Source organism: Homo sapiens, chromosome 8 (assembly GCF_000001405.40).
Source record: "Homo sapiens chromosome 8, GRCh38.p14 Primary Assembly".
NCBI lineage: Eukaryota > Metazoa > Chordata > Mammalia > Primates > Hominidae > Homo > Homo sapiens.
This window is the reverse complement of record NC_000008.11, coordinates 64,820,547-64,840,785: the sequence shown is the minus strand read 5'-3', so window position 1 is coordinate 64,840,785 and position 20,239 is coordinate 64,820,547.

Sequence of the window (20,239 nt, the reverse complement as noted above, 5' to 3'; positions counted from 1 at the left end):
TTGTAGGAAGGTTTAGGGGAAGGTAAGGAAAGACTGTGTAGAAGGGAGGAGAAAAAAGGGAACTTGTGCATAAAAACAAAGACAGCCCCAAAGGACACCATGTGGGAAGCATTCACAGAGGATCCTGGGGCTAAGGGATTAGAGTTTAAGGCAAGCAGAACCTGGGATCAAGAGGGAAGAGGAAAGGTACTAGCAAAATGGAGGGGTAGATGCCTAGGATTGTAAAAGAGCTTTGCAAATGACATAAAGCTATCTTACTTTCCTATCGCTGCTGTAACAAATTATCACAAACCCAGTGACTTAGAACAATACAAATTGACTATGTTACAGTTATCTCACTCAGCTAAATCAAGATGTTGGCAAAACTGAGTTCCTTCTGGAGGCTCTGGGGGAGATTCCATTCTTTGCCTTTCCCAGCTTCTAGAGGCTCTCACACTTGGCTGTGGTCCTCTTCAATTTCCCAAGCCAGTACTAATATTACCCTGACCATGCTTCCATCATCACATCGCCTTCTCTGACCTCCCAAGTCCCTCTTTCATTTATAAGAACCCTTGAGATTACACTGGGCCCAACCAGATAATCCCCCCACCTCAAGATCCATGATTTGGTTATATCTACAAAATCCCTTTATTCATGTAAGATAACACATTCGCAGGTTCCAGGGATTAGAGCGTGGACATCTTTGGGGGATCATTTTTCTGCTTACCCCACACAAGGAGTTGGAAGGTAGACTGGGGATACTTGAATTTTGACATTGGAAACGTTTGAGGCATTAACTTGCTCCAACACAGCAATGAGGTCTGGCAGGTCCAGAAGTATTAGGTAAATTTTACAAGGGGAAATACTTAAAGAGACACACCTGCGATTTCTTTTACCCAGACTGCATGCCTCAGGACTATGGTATTTTAAAGACCCTAGGACAATGTTTGAAACCCCCCATAAAGTATATATATATATATATATATATATACACTTTCAAATATGAAAAGAAAGCCTAAAAATTAATATATTTTGATTAAAAGTCAATAAAATATAACATCCTGTCAACCTCATTTCATATTTCTTAAATTTAGAATTCATAGAAATAGAGTAACATTATAAGTAATTTTTAAGTTTGATTTTGTTACTTCTCAAGAATTCCTAAAAGGCAGGATGATGGCTGATAAAACATATGCAATAAAAATTTAAATAAATTTATTGGAGCAAATAATTTCTAAAGCAAAATTATAAAATATTTTCCATCTTCATAGCAAAGACTTCACAACAAGAACTTCACTATTTTTATGGTGAGCTGTGAATGTATTTTAATCTGTTTAATATGGTGAGGGGTGGATATTCCCAAAAGAAGAGTGCCCAGGGCCTTGCATGGTCTTATAGCACACACATAAGGCAAAACCAGGGCTCATGACTAGACAAATGGGTGATGGAGATTTTACCAATGGGTGAATTCCCTGAATTAAATCTTTGATGAAATAGATATGAGGAAAATCTAACTCCATCAGCTTCCTCCAACCCATGAAGTTGTGAAAAAGGAAGTAACTCTAGCTGTCTAAATAAAAAGTCCTCTTTCATTTGTTTCCAAATGTTTTGAACTGGAAATAAACATAAAGGGAAATGAGAAAATGAGCATTTTCCCTTCCATTCAATTTTTATATTTGAATCATTTATAATTGATCAGCACTGTCCTCTTCACAGAGGAATTTAAAATGCATAATCTCATTCAATCTTCACAATAATCCAGTAAGATCGATATCTTTAGTTCCACTGCACACATGGGAACATAGCTTCTGAAAGGCTCCTGACTTGCCCAAGATAAAACACCTGGGAAGCGACAGAGGCAGAATTAAATACCACGTTTACTGCACTCCTACAACTGGTTGATCTTGAGAGTCTTTATAGCATCTCAATTAGGCAAACAAATTATGAGATTTAGAATCAAAGGAAATGGAATTTTGCAAGAATGCAATAAAAGAAATAATTAAATTTCGGGGAAAGGATTCTAGAGGACCTCTTTCTGTTATCATATCAAAAATCCTTACAAAAGACACACACACATGTTTATCTGCACCAAAGAATAACAGGATGTCTTTTTTTTTTTTTTTTTTTTTTTTTTTTTTGCATTTGGGTGTATACGAAAGTAGAGAAAATAGCTCTTTGAAGGAACAACAGCAGCTGGAGAAGGCCAAACTTGGAGAGGTCACTTTGAAAGCAGGCATGAGGAAAAGGTCAGGGAGTCATTAGTAACTGATTAATTTTGGATCTAAGACAAGGAAACTGGCTCCAGCATGCTAAATAGCTGAGTAAAATCAAAAGGGCCCTAGTATACTTGTAAAGTTCCAAGTGGCATGTGAACTAGCTTTTTCTCCCCTTCCTCATTGGAACAAGGTTAGTAAAAGAAATTGTGACAGTCTGTACTAGCGTTTGTATTAGCAAATAGTGACTCCTCTCTTTTTCCACCTTGTGCTGGGTACAGTACCCTGTCTCATTGCTATTGGACTTGGCCATGTGATTGCAGCACAATGTTAGTAAGCAAGGTACAAGCAGAGGCCTTGAATGTCTTGCGGGGATCAGTGGCCTGATAATCTATCATGGAAAAAATGTGCCTCAGATAGTGTCTAACCTTTCAGCCTGAACTTTAGAATGAGACACATGAAGCCATTCACATGCACCAGGAGCTGCTGGTTTGAGAAGATGAGAAACACATGTCTCCTGACAGGAACCCAGACAGCAGGCTAGAACCTGAAATCTGAAGTCCAGCTCAGCCCAGCCAACTTGCAGCCACCTGAAGACCCACAAGCATGAGAATAAGTTTTAAGTCTCTGAGTTTTGGAATGGTTTTTATGTAGCATTATTATAGCAACAGCTAATTAAGGCAGAGATATGCTCCAGAAATTTGCCTCTGTCAAGTACTGGAATCTATTAGGAAAGGAAATTCTTATTTTCATAGTTATTGTTTACAAGCACCTCTGTAGGATTTGGGTGAGTATTATGGGATTTTTTTTGTTTATTAAAGAATCTTTATACACATTAAATAATCTATCATTATATTTGTTGAAGCAAGTTTAATACATTATTATTTCTAAGAAGTCTACAAAGTTGGCATGCTTTTGAAGGAGTTGCTTCATCAAGAGAAATATGAGAAAATTAAATTTTTTTTAATTAAAAAAAAACATTTGCAGAGACTTTCACTTCCAGGGAGATGCAGTGGATGGATTTTTTTCCTTTTCCTATCTCTATATACAACTAAAATCTCTGGACGTTATATATATATAACAAGTGTAAGACTTGGAAAGGAGGGGAAAAAAGTAGACTGACTAGGGACTTTGGAACCCAAAGAATAACATGGTGGCGGGTTTCCTGAGTTTCTCTTTGGCAGCAACTTGGAAATGTCAATAGGCACAGACAGAAAACGCCCCAACAAAACCCTGCTCTCTTAAGCCAAAGAACGGGAAAGAGGCAGCCTAGCAAGATAGAATGCTTTCACACAATAACCACTCTACTCCAGCCGAACATCGTGAATAAAACTATGAGTCTACTCTCATCCATGTCACGAAAAGCTGAGAGGGAAGCCTAGACTTGCACCCTTGCAGACTCTAGCATTGCTGCGGGGCTGGTGTTAGGGAAAGTTGAGTCCAGAGTTTTCACCTCCACCAGGTAGTAACAAGGGCCCTTCCCTCCCTGTGATGTTAGGAGAGACCACATGAGGAGCCTACACTTCTGCTCCCTGTCCACACTAAGGTGCTGTTGGCAGAGGTCATGCGGGGAGCTGTAACAAGGTATTCATACCTCTCTCAGCCAGGAAGTTTTCAGTGGAGGCTCAGTGGGGAACAAATTGCCACCCCTGACCAGAGGTAACAAGGAGTCACTACCCTTGGGGTATCAGCGGAGGCCATGTGGGAAATTTGGGCTTCTATCCTCATGCAGCAGTAATGAGGCAGTGCCTCTTCTCCCTCCACTGGAGCACTGACAAAGGAAGCAATCAAAAACAGAAAGTTGAATGACATCCAGAGTCTTATAACATAATACCCAAAATGTCCAAATTTCTATTGGAAATTATTGGTCTTACCCAGAACCAAGATCTCAAACTGAATGAAAAGGATAATCAGCGAATGTCAATACCAAGGTGGCAGAGATGTTAGAATTATCAACCATCACAAAAATACTCCAATGAGCAAGTAAAAACACACTTTAAATAAGTGAAAAAAGGATTATCAGCAAAGAAGTAGGAGATATAATATAAAGATAATCCAAATGAAAATTTTAGGAATTTAAAACACAATAAGCTACATTTTAAAAAAAAACTCATGAATAGACTTAACAGCAAATTTGAAGAAAACTGGAAAATCAGTGAACTAGAAGACAGAACAATAAAAATTACCCAATCTGAACAATAAAGAGAAAAAGATTGAAAATCAAAAAGAGAACATAGCATACTAGGCCTGTGGGACTTAAAAGAGATGTAAAATTCATATCATCAAAGTCCCTGAAAGAGAGGAGAAACCAGATGGAACTAAAACAATACTTGAAGAAATAATGACTAAAAACTTCTCAAATTTGGTAAAAGGCATAAACTTACAGTTTGAAATTGAATGAAGTTCAAATGATGAAGCCAAGAAATCCACTGAGAAATCAAAGATAAAGGAAACCCTCAAAGCAGTAGGACAGAAATAACCCATTTATAGGGGAAATATAATTTGAATGACATCAGATGTCTCATAAGAAACCATGGAGACCATAGGGAAATAGCAATCATTTTTGAACTGCTGAAAAAGAAAAGAACTTTTAACCCAGAAACCTATATTTATTGAAAATAATTCTGAGAAACAAAGGGAAAATCAAGAAAGTCTCAGATGAACAAAAACTAAAGGAACTTATTGCCAGAGAGTCACCCCTAAAAGAATCTCTAAAGGAAGTTCTCTAAACAGAAAAGATTTTATAAAGAAGAAAATTGAAAACATCAGGAAGGAAGAAAGAACATAATAAGCCAAAATTGGGGTAAATACAATAGACTTTCCTTCCTGAGTTTTCAAAATCATGATTTATGATTGAAGCAAAAAACTATAACACTCTCTGGTGTGGTCCTAAATGTATGTAGAGGAAATATATAAGACAATAATATTCTGAATTGTGGAGTGTAAAGGGGCATAAAAAGGTAAAATATCCTCACTTCACTCAAACTGGTATAATGACTACATACTATAATACCTAGAGCAGCCACTAAAAAACTATGCAAAAAGGCACAATTGAAAACGTTGTAGAGAAATTAAAATATAATTCTAAAAGATGTTCAAGTTACTCACAGAAAGGCAAGAAAAAGAAAACAGAAAAATGAAACACAGAAATAAACAGAAACTGTGCCAGGCACAGTGGCTCACGCCTGTAATCCTAGCACTTTGGGAGGCCAAAGCAGGTGGATCACCTGAGGTCAAGAGTTGGAGGCCAGCCTGGGCAACATGGTGAAACCTCGTTTCTACTAAAAATACAAAAAAATTTAGCTGGCTATGCTGGCAAACACCTGTAATCTCAGCTACTCGGGAGGCTGAGGCAGGAGAATTGCTTGAACCCAGGAGGCGGAGGTTGCAGTGAGCTGAGATTGTGCCATTGCACTCCAGCCTGAGCAGCAGAGCAAAACCACAGTAGAAAGAGAAAGAGGAAGAAAGAAAGAAGGAAAGAAAGAAAGAGAGAGAGAGAGAGAGAAAGGAAGGAAGGAAGGAAGGAAGGAAGGAAGGAAGAAAGAAAGAAAGAAAAGAAAGAAAGAAAGAGAAAGAAAGAAAGGGAGGAAGGAAGGGAGGGAAGGAAGGGAAGGAAGGGAAGGAAGGGAAGGAAAGGAAGGAAAGGAAGGGAAAGAAAGGAAAGAAAGGAAAAGAAAGGAAAGGAAAGAAAGGAAAAGAAAAGAAAGAAAGGGCCAGGCGCGGTGGCTCACGCCTGTAATCCCAGCACTTTGGGAGGCTGAGACGGGCGGATCTCGAGGTCAGGAGATCGAGACCATCCTGCCTAACACGGTGAAACCCCGTTTCTACTAAAAATACAAAAAATTAGCCAGGCGTGGTGGCACACGCCTGTAGTCCCAGCTACTTGGGAGGCTGAGGAAGGAGAATCGCTTGAACCCAGGAGGCAGAGGTTGCAGTGAGCCGAGATTGCGCCACTGCACTCCAACCTGGGTGACAGAGTGAGACACTGTCTCAAAAAAAAAAAAAAAAGGAAAGGAAGGAAGGAGGGAGGGAGGGAAGGAAGGAAGAGAAGGAAGGAAGGAAGGAAGGAAGGAAGGAAGGAAGGAAGGAAGGAAGGAAGGGAGGGAGGGAGGAAGGGAAACTGAACAAGCAGAGTTAAGCCCTAACGTATGAATTAAATGTAGATGGTCTAAATTCATCAATTAAAAGGCGAGTGTTGGCGGAGTGACCCATGCTAATGTTTCACAAAAAAACAGAACTCAACTGTATGCTATCTACAAAAAATTTACTTCAACTATGATATGGCCAGATTGATAGAAAGAGGAGGAAAAGGTATATCATGCAGACATTAACCAAAAGAAAGCAGGAGTGGCTATAGTAACAGCAGATACAGTAGATTTTAGAGCCAGAAAAATTGCCAGACAGATATGAGCATTATATAGAGAAAAAAGGATAATTCACCTGGAAATCATAGCAGTCTTAAATGTGTATGGGTCAGACAACAGAGCTGTAAAATACATGAGGCAAAAACTGATAGAACTTAAAGGAGAAATAGACAAATTCACAATTATAGTTGAAGTCTTCAACACCCCTCGCTCAACAGTTGATAGAACAGCTAAACAGACTATCAGCCAGAATATGAAATAATTCAGCAACACCATTAACAAAAAAGATCAAATTGATATTTAGAGAAATTCCAATACATAAGAAGCAGAATACACATTCTTTTCAATGGTCAGTGGACATACACTAAGACAACATTCTGAACCATAAAACAAACCTCAACAAATTTTTCAAAATTGAAATTATACAAAGTGTGTTTTCAAACCACAATGGAATCAAATCAGAAGTCAATAACAGAAAGATAACAGGAAAGTTTTAAATACTTGGAAACTAATCAACACACTGCTACATAATTCATGAGTCAAAAAGCAAGTCACAAGGGAAATGAAAAAATTCATTAAACTGTAAGAAAATGAAAATACAGCATATTAAAATTTGTGCAACCCAGTTAAAAGAGTGCAGAGAGGAAAATTTCTAGCACTGTGTGCATTAGAAAAAAGATTTAAAAAATCTCAAATTAATACCCTAAGTTCTCACCTCAAAAACCTAGAAGAAGAGCTAGATAAGAACCAAAGCAAGGAAAATAAAAGTAATAATAAAGAGCAAAAATCAATAAAATTGAAAACAGAAAAACAACAGAGAAAATAAGTGAAAACAAAAAGTGGTTATTTGAAAAGATCAGTAAAATTGGCATACCTCTGGCAAAATTAATAAAGAAACAAGAGAGAATATACAAATAACCAATATCAGGAAGAAAAGTGGGAATACCACTACAGACTCTGAAGACATCAGAAGGATAATAAAGAAATACTGTAAACAATTCTGTACACATAAATTTGATAGCTCACATAAAAATGGATCAATTCCTTAAAAGATGCAAACTGCCATGACTCACCCAATACAGATAATTTGAAATGCCCTATAACTATTAAGAAATTGAATTCATAATTTTAAAACCTCAATATAGTAATTTCCAGGCCTAGAAGTTTTCACTGAGTAATTCTACCAAACATTTAAAGAACAAACACCAATTCTATACAACTTCCTCCAGAAAATAGAAGAACACTTCTCAGTTCATTTCATGAAACTGGTATTACCCTGATACCAAACCAGACAAAGGTAGTACAGAAATATAAGGCTGTACGAAACAAAAAACAAAAACAAAAAAACTGCAGACCTAGAATACTCAGGATTAGAGACACAAAGACCCTTAACAAGTTAGTAGCAAACAGAATTCAGCAATGTACAAAAAACTATGTACCATGACAAAGGGAATTTTATTCCAGGAATGCAGAAGTGGTTTAATATTTGACGAGTGATCAGTGCAATTCACCGTTAACAGGCTAAAAAAGGAAAATACGTTATAATATCAATCTATGTAGAAAATGCAGTTTATCAAAACTTAGCACACATGTATGATTTTAAAAACTCCCAGAAAAATAGCAGTAGGGAGGAGCTTCCTCAATTTGATAAACAGCTTTACAAAAACCTGCATTATACATTATGGTTAATGACTGAATGATTACCCCTTAATATCAGGAAAGAAGTAAGAATGTCTGTTTTGCCACTCTTGTTAAACATAGTGCTGGAAGTTCTAGCCAGTGCATAGGTCTAGAAAAGGAAAGAAAAGATGTGTAAACTGGAAAGAAATAAATAAAAGTGCCTCTATTTACAGATGATATGATTTTCTATGTACAAAATCCCAAGGAATCATACATACACAAAACTAGAACTAATAAGAGAGTACAGTAATGACAGAAGATGCAAGATTAACATTTAAAAATCAATTATATTTCTATATACTAGCAATAAGCATGTGGACACCAAAAATGTAAAATATAATATTATTTGCAATCACAAAAATTTAAGTACTTGAGTATAAATCTAACAAAACATGTACAGAACTTACATGCTGAAAACTACAAAATATTATGAAACCAACAAAATATTTGGTATTATGAAATCAACAAAAATCTATATTCATAGAAAGACATTCTTATACACACACGTGTATATATATGTACACACATACATATTCTCATGGATTAAAAGACTAAACATAGTAAAGATGTAAATTTTCCTGAAATATATACAGGTTTAACACAATTTCTTTAAAAATCCTAGCAAGGTGTTTGTAAATATGAATAAGATTATTCTAAAATTTATGCCAAAACGCAAAGAACTACAATAGCTAAAACATATTTGAACTAGAAAATGTGGAAAGAATCAATCTACCTAATTTGTAAACTTATTACAGAGTTACAGTAATCAAGATGGTGTGGTATTGGTGGAAAAAGGGACACATTGTTTGACTGAACAGAATTGAGAACACAAAAATAGACTCAAACAAATATCCCCAGCTGATTTTTGACAAAGATACAAAATCAATTCAATGGAGAAAAGACAGCCATTTCAGCAAATGGTACTGGAGTAATTAAGTGGATATCTATAGGCAAAAGAACTCAGGTCTCATGCCTTAAAAAAGAATTAACTTAAAATGGACCCAGTACTCCAATATATAATGGTAGACTATAAAACTTGTTGAAAAAATAAAAGAGTAAATCTGAGGAGATTTGACAGCAAAAACACAAACCATAAAATAGTAAATTGATAAAACTATATTTCATCAAAAATTTAAAATTTTGCTTTGTGAAGGACCCTGTTAAAGGGAAGAAAAGACATAGTATACACTGGGAAGAATTATTTTTAAACTACATATCCAACAAAGGATTAGCACCTAGAATACATAAAGAACTCTCAAAATTCAACAACAACAACAAACAAATAATTCAATTAAAAAATAGGCAAATCACACCGAGACATTTTACCAAAGTTGACTTATAGATGGTAAATAAACACATGAAAAGATGTACATTACTAACCATCCAAGAAGTGTATATCAAAATGTACAAAGATATCATTACACACGTATCAGAATGACTCAGTGTAAAAAATAGGGACAAAACCAAATGCTGGCAACAATGTAGAGAAACTGGAACACTCATATCTTTCTCATGAGATTGTAAAATGGTACAGCCATCCTGGAAAGTGGTTTGGCATTTTCAAAAAGCAAACAAACAAACAAACAAACAAAAAACCTAAAAATGTAACTGTGTAACTACTGCATGAGTGAGAAATTTCACTCATGAGCGTTTATCCCAGATAAACGAAAACTTATGCTCACACAAAAACTTGTACATGAATGTTTATAGCAGCTTTATTCCTAGGAGCCAAAAATTCTAAAAAAAACAGAGGTCTTTCAGTAGCTGGATGGTTAAGTAAACTGTGCTATATCCACACCATAAAAAAAACTACTCGGAAGTAAAAATAAATGAATTATTTATACACACAATTTGGAAGAATCTCTAGAGAATTATGAGGAATGCAAAAAGCCAATACCAAGAGGTTCCACACTATGTGATTCCATTTATATAAGCTTCTTGAAATGAAAAACATAGAAATAAATAACAGATTAGTGGTTGTTCAGGATGAAGGGTTGGGGGTGGGAGGGAAGTGGATGTGACTACAAAAAGGTAACATGGGATCCTCACCACCATGGAATTAATTGTTCTCTATCACTGTATCAACGTCAATATCTTAGTTGGGATATTGTGCTATAGCTCACCATGTGCTACAACTGAGGGTGAAGGATATGAAGGATCTCCCTCTATTATATCTTACAACTGCATGTGAATTTATAATGATCACAAAATAGTTTAGTTTTTTTAAGTATGAGTTTATTTGCTTAGTTATTTTTAGTCACATTTGAAACTTGTATCTCAGAGCCTCAAAATAGCTTATTTTTATTTCCACTGCAGGCCATAAAAAATGAGAGGGAGAGAGAGAGAGGAAGAGAGAAGGAAGGAGAGTGAGAGAGACAGAGGGAGAGAGATCATTTTATAAATATTTATCTTATACTGACTATATGCCAAGCATTGTGTTATGCCATGAGGAATCAATGGCAGCAAAGTCAGAGTTCCTGCCTTTATGTATATGTATACACACACACACACACACACATTCACAAATATAAACAAAACTTTATACGCCATATAGATATTCATTTAAAATATATGCATAATTGTTTTTAATAATGATCTCTCATTTCCTCAAATACACCAGTGTTATTAACTTACATAATTAAGTTATAGCTTTTTAAAAACTTTCAAACAGTATGTTTGTAGTAATGTTTTAAAAATTGAGGGCAAAGTTAGTGACCTTGAGAACAGATAAATCTAGGGCTTCTGCTTTCTAAGGAGACTGAAAAGTCTTCACAAAGAGCATTAGCATACCCAGCCTTTTAGCTGCACATTTGTTGCCAGATATTACTGTCGATACCACAGGATTCTAGAGTCATTACTGCTCAGGGCCATTAGGCACTACATTGGTAGAGAATTTTGTGCAAAAGACCTAGAAAGATAGATGAAGATGGAGAAAAATGAATGTTAAAATCAATAAATACATATATTCCACTTCCTTCGAATCTGTTATTTAATCTTTGAAATGTCTATTTTATTTTATAAAACATGAGCATAAATGAGCATGCTGATTTATTAAAATGCTTGAAACTTTATATAAGTAATAGGTTAAAAACCTCTTATTTTCTTATTTAAACAATTAAATCTTGGAAAAAGATATAGTGAATCATTCTTCTTAAATATGTTTGAGTTTTTTTTAAAAGCACAGGAAAAAGCAAAAATCCTACAACAAGAAGGCTAAAGAAAGGAACAAAATAAGCAAAAATTATAAATGATTAATTCATTCAGAGATAATACATAAATTCAGAAAACAGAGGAAAACTACCTATAATTAATGCCCCTCAAAAAGAACATTAATTCTATGAAGCAATAAATCACAGATGAGATGATAAAACAACACATTGATAAAAGGAGTTTCCGGAGCTAAATAAACATAAAGAAATTAAAGCAAAAGAAAACACCTCCACTTAAAACTAAAATATTAACAAGTAAATAAAACTAAAATAGTAACAAAAAAGCACACAATTAAGTGCTAAAAATTTCATTAATGTTATAGGGGAAGGCTTGAGAGAGTCTTAGTGAGTCCATGTGCTGGTGATGGCAGGAAGAGGGGCTGAGAAGGTAGAGAACAAGAGATTAATGTACATGGAGAGAAGATAATGGAAATAGAAGACAGGGATAGACCTAAGGATAGTTGAGAAGATGAGAAACCAAGATATAGAAACATGAAGGAAGGGCCAAATAAAAGCATATTCTATTTCAATGAAAGTTATGTATGGAACAATAGAATATATATATATATATACATATATATATATATGTATATCATATTGACTTGTGATATTTTCAACTTGTGATAGGTTTATTGACATAACCCCATTGTAAGTCAGGGAGCATTTATCTATCTTATTATCTATCTACCTACATATATATGTATATATCTTTGAAGCCTCAAGGAGATAAAAAAAAGAATGTTTAGCTTTAATAGAAAAATCATCACCATTTACCATCTGGGTTCAACTGACACTTTTAATATATAATTTACAAAAGTAAGAATAAAAGGATAGTGAAAAACAACATTTGAAATTTTACTAAGAACTTAAACATAGCAAAGCCAAACACTCCTTATTACCCTAGGTTTGAAGGCATACACACAACACATACACACACGTGTATATATCCATATACTCTACGCTCCCCAAAAATATATATGCAACTCTACACCAAAAATGGGCAGTGTAATTTGAATGTAACTAAATGCTTAGTAACAGTTATGCATGAACCTGGAATATATAAATCTTGTTCATTGATTCCAGATTTCAAGTTAAGGCTATACATTATTATTATTTTTTAGTTCTTTTTCTTTCTTTCTTTTCTTTCCTTTCTTTTTCATGGGGGGCACTTGCATTATCAAAACACAATAATTCTGAAAACTTTGATGGCTCCTAATTTTGCTAAAGAGAAATGGACTTTGCCTTTGCTCCATAATTGCAAAATATTTTCAGTTTTAGACTTACAGACATCATTTAGAATGCTCAGTTGAATGATTTTTTTCTCATTCCTACATTATCTAATTTCCTTTGCATAAATGCCTGCCTTCAGCATTTGTCCATTTACAAACTATATCAAGTAAATACTAGTGCACAAATTTTACAAAAGATGAAAGAATTCTGATACATGTTCTTTTAGGAAAATAAAACATTGTGGATGAATTCCTTCCTGTTGAGTGTCATTTTTCACCTTTTCCTTAGGAATATATTGTTCACTCATTAATTCTTGAGTCCAAGAAAACCTCTCCAGAACATCAAACCCTGAAGACTCATTGTCTGAGATTTTGCTGATGGTCAATTTCACCAATATTGGAATGCTACTATTTGTTTCAATTTATCTTCTGCTTCATTTAGTAAGTGTGGAATATCTTCCTCTGCCCATAATTATTTTGTCATCATGGATAAAAATTAAAAATTTTGAATTATCAATGATGTTTAATGAAAGCTAAAAAAACCTACAAAAAAATCTCCTGATTTCTTTGATACGTTCTTGAAATACATTTCAATACTTCAGCAGCAGAATATGACTGCCACAGGATCCTTCTAAATAACATTAAAACTATGGCATAAAATAGCAGACCTAAGGCAATATGTATCTACTCTTATGTCAGGAAGCACAGACAAATTTAGTTATTAGGAAGGGGGAAGACACCATCACATGGATTTTAAAAAACACTATAAGATACATGAAAGTTATCTAGAGTTCTGTTTCCCAGTCATGATAACTTTGCCAGTTAACAACAATTAATCAATCACTTATACAAATATAGTGAACTCTTAGACACACTACTTATTATATAGATTGGTAAAAGAGGTCTCTGGACCTCCCTCATCCAACAAACAAACAAACAGGCAAGAAATGTGAATAGAGTCAAGCAGAAAGGGAGGAGCATTGAATGCAGATAACCTATGCTTCTACTTCTTAGAGCCAACCGGAATGAAAGGGCCCATCTAGAATATTAGAGAGAAGGTTGCAAATGCGCTAAGGCAGGGCCAAAGAGGCAAGGAGCAAGGTCACAGAGGCAGGGAGCCAGGCCAGAGAAGTCAGGGTTCACAACAACAGGGAGCCAGAGAGACACAGAAATCACCAGGACTGTGGGCAGCAGGGAGGGGTGGTGCCCTGAAGTCACAGAACCAAAGCAGCATGAGATACTTGAACATATACAGGAAAGGGAAGCTCAGTCTCAGTCTCTTGTTCTGAGAAGGCCAAAGTGTTTCTAGGATAGGAGCATCTCCAACTTTCCTTTGAAGGAAAGCTTCCCCAAGTTGGGACTACTGGACTAGCACAAGTTAAAAGCAACTGTGACTTCATAAAGTCTGCCGAACAAATGAGAAGGTAAGTTCTGAATGAAAATCAAGAAAAAAAACAAGGAAGGAATAAATTTAGACACTAGGACAGCAGATGTGAAAAACTGTCATATACTATATATAATTAAAACCTGAAGAATAATAAATCAAAGATAGTGGAATAATTGCTACAAGTGTTGGGAATAAACAACACTCAACCTAGGATCGTGCACTCAGCAAAAATAAAAAGTTGAAAGGGGAAACCTGAAAGAATGAACAGATATTTAAAGAAATGGAATATTTGGAAATACAAAATAATCATTGAAATAAAAAAACTCGGTGCTTGGTTAAACAGCAGATCAGACACAATTGAAAAGAGAATTAATGAGCTGGAGAATATGTCTGAAAAATTTTTCCAGAATATAGGTAACGTAATTAAGGAAATGGAAAATACAAAAAGAAGGTAAGCCACATTTGAGACAGAATAAGACTGATACATACTTACCTGAAGTCTCAGAAAGTAAAATTGGAGAACAAAAAAAAAGTATTTAAGGAAAATTTTCCAAAATGAATACACATGATTCTACAGATCCCAACAGGTTACACATTTATATGTATCCCACTGAAGTCCCAGAATATCAAAGACTCAAAGATCATTCAAACGGCCAGGAAGTAAAGACAGATACCTGAAAATCAACAATAGTTAAACCACTTCAGACATCTGACTACAGAAACGAGAACCAGAAGACAGCAAAATGTACCTCCAAACTTTTGGGAGTGAACCACTGTCAGCCTATTGTGTACCTAGCAATACTATTGTTCATAAAACAGATAATAATCATAAGGGCAACATTTCTAAGAAAATAGAGATGTATAAAACTGAGGCATTTTGCCACCAAGTAACCTACTTTAAACATACAATAGAAAAATCTACTTCAAGAAGAATCATGCTAGAAGGATGGTCTGAGACATAAGAAATAATGGTGAAAATAGAATGATAAACAGGCATGTAAATTCAAACAAACTTCATCTATATAAACAATAATGTCTATTATGTGGGTTTTTAAAAAACAAATAAAATAACAAGAGTACTAACGATATCATATAAGGCATAAGGGGGAAACATAAGCTAAACTATTTTTAAATCTTTAAATTTTCTGGGAGAAGTATCAGGATATTATTCAACTCTAAAACTTTGTTACATTACATATGTATGATGAAACTTCAAATGTAGCCACTTATCCTATATGTTCAATAACAGAAGAAAAAACGTTAAAGCATAACTGTCATTACAACTTGCAGACATATTACTGGGAACAATCGGAGAGTTTAGCAAGATGGCTAGATTTAATATCAATATTAAAAAATCAGCTGGAGGCCGGGCATGGTGGCTCACGCCTGTAATTCTAGCACTTTGGGAGGCCGACGTGGGCGGATCACCTGAGGTCAGGAGTTCAAGACCAGCCTGACCAAAATGGCAAAACCCCATCTCTACTAAAAATACAAAAATTAGCCAGTGTGATGGTGTGTGCCTGTAATCCCAGCTGCTTGGGAGGCTGAGGCAGGAGAATCGCTTGAACCCATGAGGCAGAGGTTGCAGTGAGCAGAGATCAGCCTGGCGACAGAGCAAGACTCCGTCTCAAAAAAAAAAAAAAAATCAGTTGGAGTTTTGAGCACCAGCAACAAATAGACAACCTAATTTTAAAAGACATCAAATAAATTAAAATGGCAACCAAAACTACAAAGAACTTAAGAATACGACTAATAAAGGTTATATAAGACTCTAAACACAAAGTATCATAAAACATTAATAAAAGAAATTAAAGACAAAATAATAGATACCTTGTGCTCATAAATAGGAAGACAGTGTTGTAAAAATGTGAATTCTTACCAATCAATCTATAGATTTGAAGCAACTTCAATAGAACTCTCAGGAGGATTTTTCATGGAAGTTGACAAGATGATTCTAAAAACATAGTGGCTTCTCTTCCTCTTCCTTTCCCTTCCCAAACAATTCAATTCTAAAGTCATTAGGTGGAGCACAGCCAGGTAGGCTTCATGCGGGTGGAAGAGGGGAAGGGATGCTACAGTGGTAGGGGATGGGCTCTCAGACCCCAAATGTGGTGAGGTGCATGTGCCTGTAGGGGGGCTGCCCAGAGCAAGTAGGCAGAGACTGGTCAGGGAGAGGAGGGCATCCACACAAAGGGGTGGCCCAGCGTAGGCATCCAGTTCACCCAGTGGGGAATGGAGGTGTCCATATGGAAAATGATTCAGAGCAGAGTCAGACCCCAAGCAGGATGAGAAGTGCATCTTCTTAGAGGGATAGGCCTTGGGGGTTTGGAGACTGTTGTGAACCGAATGTTTGTGTTCTCCCCCAATTTATACACTGAGGCTTTAACTCCCAGTGAGATGGTATTTGGAGACAGGGCTTTTGGGAGCTAAATTGGTTTAGATGAGGTCATGAGAGTAAGGCCCCCATGATGAGATTAGTGGCATTACACATGCACACACACGTACACACACACACACACACACATTATTGGAAAGAATGAGCATTACGATTGCTAGGACACATTTGAAGGAAAAGATTTTACCCACCTGCCAGCTATACTTAATAATGGCTCAGAGGCATACAGATTAACCAATGAAATAGAAAAGAATGCCCAGAAAAGATACTTACATATATGGAGTTTTGATATGTGGCACAGTTGCCTAACAAATCAGGGTGGAGAGAAGGCTTATTTGGTAAACAGTGTTTTGAGAATGGAATGTTCCCATAAGAATTCTGGAAAGCCTCCTCTGCTTGTCAAATCATCCTTTAAACTCCACAGCCTGTCCTGGTGCTTAGTCCTGGGGTTGTGGGTCACCCATGTGATGTTTTATGAATTACCAACCAAGTGTCTTTTGACCTGGGATTTTCAAAAAATTATTGCATTTCTCAATTGGTTGCCAACATTCAAAACTAATAAGTTGATATTACATAAAACTGTAGGTGGCTATTCTTATTTTCTTGAAAAGTCTGTGACAGAAATGAGCCTACATGCTTGCAAATAGTTACATTTGCAGCAGAGCATTGCCTGATCTAGTGGGAGCACACTCTCCAGTTCATCCGAGAACTTTTCTGTATGTTGACACTGCCTGCCAAGGCCCTCTAGACAGTGGAGCTTTCTACCCGAGACTAGTCTAATGTGTTCCAATGTCCCGTAGGGCGGCCATTAGGTCTTTTTTGACTTTGAGGATCTGAGTCAGGCATCAGTGCTCATTGCTTTCTAGTTATTTTGACTTTGCCCCTTTGAGTATTCTGCATTCTGTCTTCCAACTATTTGCTCACATTGCTTTCTTCCCTGAACTCCACTGTAAGTTCATGTATTCTTTGTAAGATTTAAATGATTGCTTATATCTTTTTTAAGGTATGGTAAGAGGGGAAAGGAAGGTCATCTAATAAATTTCATTGGAGTTTACTTCATCCACTATAATAAAAACACCCTTTTTGAAGTGTACAATTCAGTGGGTTGTGGCATATTCACAGAGTTATGGAAATATTGTCACTATATGATTTTAGAACATTTGTATCACTCCAGAAATAAATGCTGTTTCCATGAACAATCACTCCTCATTCTCTGCTGTGTCTTTAAAAGCATTACTCCTGCTGGAAGTATTATACTTTGGTAAGTAATAAAGTCATACAATTCAAGTATCAGACAACAGACTGTAAAGGATCCTGGAGGGGGTGTTTGTTTATCTGGATCTGCTTGGTGTTTCTGAGCTCATCCCTTGTAGACTTGTTAATTTTTCTATCCCTCCTGTCCTCAAGGCTGTATCGTCCGGCAGATTGACTCTAAGCAAGTGATGTTTGCCTCTGATAGGTGGCTTCTTCATTCTATAAGTCTCCTAGGATTTCCCAGGCCTTCCCCTTTATTTCTAGGTACCTAGAGCACATGCCTTACCCCCAGCCTCCCAGAGCCTTTCACTACAGTCTCGGTTCAGATTTCTCCTCCCTGCTTTGGAATATGCCACGCTGCAAAATGCCTCCATGGTCCCACTCCCACGCCCACACTACTAGAGCTTCAGTGAACTAAAGTGATTTAGGTGTTAGGAAAAAAGCAACAATGACTAACCTTATTCAAATGTAGAAATGACAGCTATTGGCACTTTTTAAGTAAGACTTCCAACTGTGAAATTTTAGGCTTTGGGAGAATGTTGTTTTCACTGAAGGGGTGGAATGAATAAGCACTTAGCAAGATCCTTCCCTGGCGTGAGTGACTTTACGCAAGTGGTTTTTCTATGTTCTTCATTCTTAAGTGCTGTCTATAAGTCTAAATTTTTTCTGCATTTTCTTTTCTTATAGCAACATGGTGTAGTAACAGTTCCAAGCTTTTTATTCGCTCTGCGGTGCAAAGAGAAAGGAACCACAACATTGATAAAAGCAGAATCAGACACCTAGGGCTGCAGACGGGGCTCAGCAATGCTTCTAAAGGCAATTTTCTCTACTGATAAATGTAATATGTGCTAACAGTGGAAATTCTGGAAAATGCAGACAAGTACAAAATATATTTTAATCACCTTAAACCCCAAAAGCCACTATTAGTGTTTTGGTACGCTTCTTTTGAAACTTTCTTACTCTCAATATGCCAATTCCCCAAATGTTTCCTCCTCTTTAACTCATATGAGCTAAATTAAACTACCCTTGATATAAATATTGACTCCTAACCCTAGAATTAGATATTTAAATTTTTAATTACTTTTTAATGTGTTTTTTTTTAAGAAATAAAAACTCATTGAGGACATTTGGAGATTGCAAATGTTATAAAGGACAAAATAAAAGTCATTTCTATTTTTGAGATGGAGTCTCACTCTGTCGCCCAGGCTGGAGTGCAGTGGTGCAATCTTGGCTCACTGCAACCTCCGCCTCCCGGGTTCAAGGGATTCTTCTGCCTCAGCCTTCTGACTAGCTGGGACTACAGGCACATGCCACCACGCCCGGGGAATTTTTGTATTTGTAGCAGAGTCGCGATTTCTCCATGTTGGCCAGACTGGTTTCCAACTCCCGACCTCAAGTGATCTGCCCGCCGTGGCCTCCCAAAGTGCTGGGATTATAGACGTGAACCACCGTGCCCAGCCAAGTCATTTCTAATTCTACTTTCAAGTGATAAACACGGGGTCTCATAATTTAAATAAGTTCTGAGTTACAGCAATAAAACCTATGACTAGTCTTCACACTGCTACCTAAAACAGTGCAAGTCACTAAAGCTAGTATTCTGGTCTGGGCCCATGGTGGAATGATTTCCCACAGTTATGGGGAATGAGGGCCGTTTCACACACCCCCAGGCATTGGTAAGCTCCTGCCATTTCAGTTTTCTCTTAACATAATTTATTTAAACAAAAGAGCACAGGGATGAAATGAAGGCATACATACATACATATGACATGCTTGTCTAACAACCAAAAGCCAGTCACATCGATTAGGACTTGCTTTGTTAATTCACCTTGAAAATTGAAAATTGACATCTTTTCATTAATTCTTTAAACTAACAACTCTCGTATCCACAAGAATATATGAATATGGCACTGTGAGAACCAATGATCCAGAGACAACAGTTACCTCCTCTTAACTCTTTTTTTTTTGAAATTGACCAAAATGCAGAATTTCATAAAAATGAGGGAAAAGGGTGAAATATCATTTGAGAATGATTTTTCTTAAAAATAATTAACAAAAAAGTGTGCCCCAAATCCAGAAGGCCTAGGCAATTTTGTTGGCACACCTCACTTTTCACCTTCTTTTCCCCCTAGTAATCAAGCATTCTCTTGATTGTGCTCTGCTCTGAACGCGGAATAACTTCCAAGTACCCCTTTGTCACTACTGCCAAGTTAGCATGCATTCTCTAGGCCTGTCACTTCTCAAGGCCCCTCTGGAAATGCTGAGTAGCAGGGACCTGAGGCGAGCATTAGCTTCACTAAGAAAATATCCAGCAACGCAGTACTAGTCCTCATGTGCAGAGAGCTCCTGGAGTTCAGCAAGAGCCTAAAATTTTTGTCTCATGTGTCATGAAATGTTAATTTCTATGACGTTTCTGTCTCTTTTAAACTACATCTTGTGAAAACAAATAGGTGAAGTTTTCACCAAATTTTGAGAGTGTATTCAGAATGGGCTGATTTAAAGTGTCGACCATATACTATGCACAATCACACA